This window comes from Homo sapiens, chromosome 4, assembly GCF_000001405.40.
Source record: "Homo sapiens chromosome 4, GRCh38.p14 Primary Assembly".
NCBI lineage: Eukaryota > Metazoa > Chordata > Mammalia > Primates > Hominidae > Homo > Homo sapiens.
In genome coordinates this window covers 13,928,390-13,936,882 of record NC_000004.12, presented here as the reverse complement: position 1 = coordinate 13,936,882, position 8,493 = coordinate 13,928,390, and the positions used below count along the sequence as shown (strand labels likewise).

General features: G+C 40.1%; 2 long non-coding RNA genes across 2 annotated transcripts in view; both read right to left on the bottom strand.

Moving 5' to 3' along the window:
- Positions 1–384: 384 nt before the first annotated feature.
- Positions 385–8,493, bottom strand: part of LOC107986182 (uncharacterized) — a 103,624-nt gene continuing 95,515 nt past the window's right edge. The window contains exon 4 of the long non-coding RNA XR_001741382.2: positions 385–5,339. This is a non-coding gene — a long non-coding RNA (uncharacterized LOC107986182). The remainder of the gene's footprint in view (positions 5,340–8,493) is intronic.
- The window catches only part of LINC01182 (long intergenic non-protein coding RNA 1182), a 276,050-nt gene continuing 273,211 nt past the window's right edge, over positions 5,655–8,493 (bottom strand). Inside the window, exon 4 of the long non-coding RNA NR_121681.1 lies at positions 5,655–7,533. This is a non-coding gene — a long non-coding RNA (long intergenic non-protein coding RNA 1182). The remainder of the gene's footprint in view (positions 7,534–8,493) is intronic.

Sequence of the window (8,493 nt, the reverse complement as noted above, 5' to 3'; positions counted from 1 at the left end):
TAGATGAAAGATAAAATGGAGTGGCTTAATGACAGATAATATCTGCCAGTGGGTGGTTTATTTCTTTCCAAAAACTTGGGCTTTTTCTGATTTTACTATAAATTTTAAAGATGCAGAAAATTATTATTCAAGTTCTGTGGCATTGAAAATGGTCATATGTCACTCTCTGCAGCTCCACTTTATAGAGAAGAAATGGATTGTTTTGCTATTAATTTTCTCAGTGGTGTTTTAAACATTTCAGTATTTTAGCAATCTTTATCAAGTACTTGAAGAGAATAGTAGGAATTATTGTTTAAAATGGGCATCGATCATGGACACAAATTCTTTCTTTTTTTTTTTTAATTTCACTTTAAGTTCCAGGATACATGTGCAGAGCCTGCAGGTTTGTCACACAGGTAAACGTGTGCCATGGTGGTTTGCTGCACCTATCAACACATCACCTAGGCATTAAGCCCCACATGCATCAGCCATTTGTAATCATGGACCCAATTTTCACATCAAAGGTGGAATAAAGGATTCTGGAAACACATTCCCCTGAAAGTTGGAGGAAGAGCAAAACCAATGAGGGTATCACATCAAGGCCAAGCTTTGCCCTTGGATACACAACTGCACTATGACTGAAATCCTGAGAGTGGAGTCCAATTTGAGTGAAGGCAGATCCACCAGGCTCTTCAGGCCCTGCCTTTCCCATTCTTGGCCTCTTCATTTGTAATCAATTTTGGTAATGTAGAATATGTCCTTAGATACTTTCCCTTCTCCCACTTACCCCCAATCAGTAATCAGGAAATAAATTGTCTGAGTCTCAGTTTATCAGGGAATGACTTTTTCATACAAAACATTACTTGGAGGAGAACAAAATTCTTGGTGCACAATATTGCTTTTCCACTTAAAAATTCTGCAGATGCAATTCTATTCAAAGACACTTTGGCATTCAGTGCTGCAGAAGGAAATCCCAAAGCCTTCCTGATTTCTGTTTCTTTGTAAACAACCAGTCTGAGGGTTTAGTTTTGTTTGTTTCATTTCGTGCCTGCATGTATCCTTGTAGGATTCCTTTGTCTTTATACTTTGGTCAAACTTTTCACCAGAGTAATTTTACAACAAAAAACGTATTCTGTAAACAGCCTAGCAAAAACTATTTACAAATAGTGTGCAAAGATAAGAGTATTCACAGTACCAGTTTTATAGTTGAGAAATAAAAAGGAAACATTTACTGAGTTGGATAAATTACAGTGCATCTATACAAAAAATCCCTTCAACAATTTCAAATATTAACTAGAGCCTCATGTTCTAATAAGAAGAAACATCTACAATATATTGCTAAATGAAAAAAAAAGCTAGGTGCAGAAAGTTTACTGTGATAATCTTGTTGTTCAAAAAACTAATGAATATTTGTAGGAGCTGGTATATGCAGAGTGAAGATCTGAAAGGCTTTTCAGCAAAATACTAACACTCTTACCTCTGGAGAACAGAAAAGGAGAAGCAAAGAGAAGCTTTTGTTATTTACATTATATCCATTTGAGGTGTTTGAATATTTTATAATTTTTATAATTAAAAATAAAGAAAAATTACATGCAATTGCATATTGCAGTAATCTTTTTGGGGTTTTTTTGCTGCTTGTTTTACTAACATTACTTGTAACTTAAAGAACCAATTTTAACATTTATACATTGGTTTTTATAAGTAGGAATTTTTTTGGAAGTATTTTTTATTTGTCTTTTCTCTCTCAAGTAGAAAGACTTATAATTCTTAAGTTAAAGCTACTATCTCAGACTTTTTAAACAAACACATGCTCTCTCATCATTTTCATCTCTGTCCCATACTTTCTAGGAGAGTTCTAAAATTTGTCCCTTATAATACAATATGATTTTCCATAATCTCAATTAAGTTTTCCACTGCTTGTTAATGCTAATGTAATTCTGCTGTTGCACTTTTGGCTGCCTATAAATTCTTCCTTATCTTATCCAGTTCTTTTTACATGACATTTTGTTCTTTCTTTGAAACATTTGTCCTATTTCCAACAGAAATCCAAAAGAGATGAGATGCAAGGTTTGTCCTTGAATCTCAGGACTCCAAATAATTTCCTTAAAACAAAAATCTATTTCCTTCAGCAGATGGGTGTCAAGGATTTGATCTTGCTGGGAGCTTTCACAATAATTTTGGATGACCAGTGCTCAATATTTCTCCACTGTGATTGCTGTCCTTGTTGAGGCTCATATTCTTCATGTTTTGTAGTTTTCTCATCCCCAAATAAAATAAAATGTATCAAAGTCTAGTGTTTACCAGAAGACCTCAAGGATGAATGTTCCTTGACCCTACTTCCTTCTGGTCAAATCTTCTGTTTCAAGGTGTAACAGATATGGGAGGGGGGCAGAAAATGCTGGGTAGAGAAGGGTGGGGTCCCCAGTGAGGGCTCCACACAGGTAAACGTGTGCCATGGTGGTTTGCTGCACCTATCAACCCGTCACCTAGGCATTAAGCCCCACATGGATCAGCCATTTGTAATCATGGACCCAATTTTCACATCAAAGGTGGAATAAAGGATTCTGGAAACACATTCCCCTGAAAGTTGGAGGAAGAGCAAAACCAATGAGGGTATCACATCGAGGCCAAGCTTTGCCCTTGGATACACAACTGCACCATGACTGAAATCCTGAGAGTGGAGTCCAATTTGAGTGAAGGCAGATCCATCAGGCTCTTCAGGCCCTGCCTTTCTCATTCTTGGCCTCTTCATTTGTAATCAATTTTGGTAATGTAGAATATGTCCTCAGATACTTTCCCTTCTCCCACTCACCCCCAATCAATAATCAGGAAATAAATTGTCTGAGTCTCACGAACCCAGGGGAGGACAGGCACTCCTGTTTTCAGATCCAAATGTTGCATTTTCCAAGATCTCTCTGGCCTGCCATGCCCCCTATTCTGTGCCTATATAGCCCCCGAGACCCTAGCAGGCATACACACAAGTGTGTGGATGTCAAGAGAAACACACAGGCAGAAGAACACACCAACAGACACTGGCAGGCCATTGATGGTGGGATGACGTGGAATTTGGCTGAGGACAGTTGGAGGATAGCCCAGCCACAGAGCAGCCTGACCCAAGGGAAGACCACTTTCCCACTCCATCCCTCTCATGCTCCCCATCCATCTGCTGAGAGCTACTTCTACCACTCAATAAAACCTTGCACTCATTCTCCATGCCAACACGTGATCTGATTTTTCCAGTACACTACTGCAAGAACCCCGGGATACAGAAAGCCCTATGTCCTTGTGATAAGGCAGAGGGTCTGATTGAGCTGATTAACACAAGCCGCCTGCAGATATCTAAGCTGAAAGAGCACACTGTAACACACTGGGGCTTCCAGAGCTGTAAACACCCAACCCTAGACACTGCTGTGGGGTTGGAGTCCATGATCCCCACGATCTGCCCATCTGCATACTCCCCCTAGAGGTTTGAGCTGCAGGCACCAAAGAAACGAGTCACTCCCCCCATCACACACCCTGCTAGTGGGATAAGGGAACTTTTCCCATTTCATAACTCACCAGCTGAATGCCCACAGCTCCTAGATCAGCTCCACATTCCAGCAGGCTTTACTAACCGTGGTTCTGGTAGACTAAAATAGTATTCTGTGCAACTTCTTCCTGGACTTCTGATAAGACAGACAGTTAATGAGTGGAAATAACCATCAGGCAATTATGCTATGCATCACTGCCACAAAAACCCTCCTGCTTCTGCCTTCCAACCCCTGCCCTGTGGTCTTTGGAGCAGGATCTTCTCTGAGGCTGGAAAATAAATAATGGAAGAGGAGAGGAACACAATTCTCCCTCTTATAAAATGGGGAAAATGCACAGGACAAGGATGGCTAAAAGGGACCCTGATATGGTTTGATTGTGTCCCCACCCAAATCTCATCTTGAATTGTAGCTCCATAGTTCCACATGTCATGGGAGGGACCCGGTGGGAGGTAATTGAATCATGGGATCAGGTTTTTCCTATGCTGTTCATGTGACAGTGAATAAGTGTCACGAGATCTGATGGTTTTATAAAGGGAGTTCCCCTGTACACACGCTTTTGCCTGGTGCCATGTAAGATGTCCCTTTGCTCTTCCTTCATCTTCCACCATGATTGTGAGGCTTCCCCAGCCATGTGAAACTGTGAGTCCATTAAACCCCTTTTCCTTTATAAATTACCCAGCTGCGGGTATGTCATTATCAACAGCATGAGAACAAACTAATACAGACCCAGACAGGAGGCACCATACTGGCTACCCATGACTTTCTCAAACATGTTTGACACGGTTAGTACCACATTTGAAATAAAATTAGGGCAATGTTAAAAAAAAAAAAAAGAGCACACAAATGAAATCCAAATTTCTAGCTTCTTCTGAACTGTAAAAATATTTGGCAAGTCCATGTCTGCATTCTTAGAAGACAACAATTGGATGTGTCTTCATAGACCATGTGGCCTCTCAACTTCACCTCTGTGCCTCCCTGGTCAACCCACTCATTTTCATTATCTTAGGCATTTCCATTTTCAACACTTGGCATAAACTTGAGTTTTCCATTGTATTAGTTTCCTAGGGTTGCCCATAATACAACAAAAATATATCCTCTCACGATTCTGGAGGTCAGTCCAAAATAAAGTGCCAGCAGGGGCATGCTCTCTCTGAAGTCTCTACGACAGAGTCCTTCCTTGCCTCTTTGAGCTTTTGTTGGCTCCTGGCATTCTTTGGCTTGTGACCCCACCATTCCAGTTTCTGTGTCTGTCTTCATGTGGCCTGAAACATATTCTGTCTGTGAGTCACTGTATGTGTCTTTCCGTCCCTTATAAAGATGCTTTCATTAGATTCAGGATCCAGCCTACCCAGTATGGTCTCATTTTAAATCTTAATCCATTGTATCTGCAGATAAGGTATTTACAAAAAAAAAAAAAAAAAAAAAAGGCACATACTAAAGTTCTGGGTGGTCATCAATTTTCACCAGAGAATCCATTCAAGTATACACAATTGAGGGGACCCATCATCCAGGGGATCCCCATCCAGGAGATGCACAATGAAAATAATAGTCCTTCTTACCTCTTGCCTACAGAGCATTTCCTCAGTAACACACCCACACCCATAGAATGTTCTTTTCTTTTCAGTTTCATTGGCAGTACTATTGGCAAAAAGTCCTCCCAGATCCAGTCTTCAGGGGATTGTCAGTCCAAGTTTATGGCTGTGTTCTGAGTTTACATCTTCTTCTAAGCTTTTATAGGTATTTTACCTCACATTACAGAGAAGCTGTACCAGCAACTGTTTGTTAGCAGACACCATTTCAAACCAGCAGTCAGTGAATCAACTTTATAAGCTGCAATTAGAAAACAAGGATAGAGCTTTTATTCCCTCCAAGTAAAGTCCTCATTTCCTCCACATTCTCCCCACTCTAAACTCCTCTACCCAAAACTATCAATCACATTGGCGACTTTAGAGTGATATGGGAAGAAGATGAGGTTGCCATGTGAGTTTAGAGCAAGAGACTAGATAAGATTGAGTGAAGCATTGTAATATAGCTGCTAAGATCTTTTAATTCTGAGCTCTGAAGCCTTCATTTGTTAATGTTGATTAAATAATGAAAATAACTCCAGGTTAAGAAAATGTTAGTAATCAGCACCACACAATAGCTATTCTCAATGATTTGCATATTTAATGAAAAAACGAATGGCTGCATATTCATTATTGTATTACGGTTAATATACCATACCAAATGTGGAAGAATGAAAGTCTTTGAAAACAAGAAAAATGTTTTACTTCTAGGAAGACTGGAGAAAAACATGAAAGACATAACAAATACCTTAAAATTTCCAGAGCTCAGCTGTGGAAACTGAGGTCTAGATAGGCAAAATTACTTTCCCTAAGTCATCCAACTAATTGGCAATAAAATTGGAACTATAAACAAGAACTATAGCCCTGCCTTCAAGATCACTGTTCTTGCTAGAAATAACACAGTTAAATTATTTTAAGCAAGTTGAGAACATAACATTTTCTATATTAATTCCATCTACTCATATATTACTTTGCAGTTTCCAAGTGCTTTGTTAACATTTTTACAAAAGACATTGTGTCATTTGATCCCCACAATGATTCTCCTGTATGTGAACAGAAGGTATTACGGTTCCATCCTATAGGTAAGGAAATGAAAGATCAAATTTTCCAATCTGAAACATTTATTCAGTGAACACCATTCACCTACTCTGCAATAAATTCCCAAAGGCAAAGATGGCTCAGAGCCCTAAGGGTTGTACAGTCTGAAGAAGGAGAAAGAATTGGCTTGGCAATACCATTGCAATAGAGGAGGGTCCAAGGTCCTCAGAAAGTGAAGAAGAAGCAGGTAATGAAAGCACAAAAGTTCGAGAAGGACTTTTTTAAAGTATGAGCTGATACTAAGGAGAAGACATTTACCAGATGAAAAATTGAAGAAAAGATATTCAGCTAAAAATAGGACATTAGAGCAGGCAGAGGACAGAGGGGTACAACAGAGCACCGCCTTTCAGCATGGCTTCTGGGCAGAGTGTGAGCTAGGAAGAGCCACAGAGATAAAAGATTAGGTTATGGAGGCCCTTCTATGCTAGGGTCAAGTGTTTGAACTTTATCCACCAGGCAAGCAGGCTGGCGAAGGTTTTTAAACATGAGAGTGACATGATCAAATTCGTGTTTCAGAGAAATGAGTCTGTATAAAGCATTGAAGTAATGTCTTTAAGTTCAAATACCTCCCAGGCTCAGGCAGGTAACAAAAAAGAAGGGTTTAAAACAATAGTAAAGAGGAGAGATTGTGATGAACTGGACAAAAATCCGATGCCTGAGCTAAAAAAAAAAAAAAAAAAAAAAAACCAAAATGGCAAGATTTACCCAGTTGTTGCTCGGTGTGGACCAGTGAGGTCAGATCATTCAATTTTTTAGCATAAACAGGAAATATGGATTTTTACATAAAATCATCTGATTTTTCAATTTTTAAATCTTATTCCAAAGAGTGTTATGGACATTAAAAAAATAAGTAAAATGTATCTGTGGACTGTAAAACAAACCATCGTTTTGTCACTGGACCTGTATACAGTATAAGAGTCTGGAGGCAGAGCAACCAGTTAGGAACCTATTTCAAAACTATAAACCTAGAATAGTGCCAGTGAAGACAGAGAAGAAGGGAGATGACTGGCAGTCAGAACACAGAGCTGAGAGGAGACCCACCAGATGGTAGATGAGCAACGTGACCAGATGTTTGGACTCTGGTCTGTGATTTATTCCTGGTGTCATTGTTGTTGTGACTATGAATTAGGCTTTACATTTTTATTTTCAACATAGAAAGGGGTAGCAAAGAGTAGGCTCTGAAAAACCAGCTTCCAATGCCTTCCAAAAGTGGCTTCCTCTGAGCCCTCCAAGCCCAAACTGGTTCACAGCGTTGCCAGTTGGCATCCAGAGCCAGGTTGAGAAGGAAGATGAGTGTTCTCTGTTTCTCTGCTTCGGTCTCTGACATGATCAGAGTCTCTGACGTATTCAGTTAATGTTCTCTGCCATAAAAAAAAGAAATGGTTGGTCTCCTTTCCCTAACTATGCTGTCGCTTTGATTTAAGTACTTTTCACCTGTAAATGTCCTTGGTTACTCCTGAACCATATTCTCTCCTATAAAAGGCACTAAATTAAAGACTGCTTTGGCTCTGCGTTTTAGTGATTTTGAGAAGTGCTACAAGATTGCTCCTTCCTTCACAGAGCCAGTGAAGTTCACCTCAAATGTCACCTCCTTTCTGCAATTTGCTCTAAGACTTTATCCATTTCAGACCCAGCTCACGTGCCCTCTCTTTCATGAAGCCTTTTCTCACCACACCAGCAACCCCCTGTAACCCCAGACTGGGCCAGGGTGCCTTGACCGTGTACATCATCATCGTCTGTTACCATTTAACTCCTCTCCACTCCTGAAAACCTTATAGGCACACAGTAGTCACAGTGGTCTTCTTAAATAGAAGTCAGATCTATCACTGCCCACTTAAATTCCCCACTCTGTGGAGTCAGAATAAAATCTAAACTCCTCTAAATGATTTACAAAACCCTGGACTGTCTGGTCCTGCCTACATCTTCTGCAATTCTTTTCCTTTTTTGATTACATTCAAATTATGCTGGACTTCTGAGGGACCCTCAGATACCACCACAGGGTCTTTGCATTTGTTGTTCCCTCCACTTACGAAGCTTCTGCAAGGTTTTTCACATAGCTGGATCTTTCTCATCCTCTGGTCTTAGGTTAAACATCATCTCCTCAGAGAGATCATCCATCCCTGATCATGTAAATCTCACTCTCCCAGGTTATCCTCTCTTGGCAACTGGATTACTTATTCCATATTTATGGCGGCTACAGGAAATGCTTTGCAGCCTTCCAAATGCCAAAGCGTAATTGTCCAAAGGCTTTTGCTGTTGTGCTTTGTAATCCACCCATTCACATGCTCCAAAGCCATACTTCCCATGAGATGCTACCACCC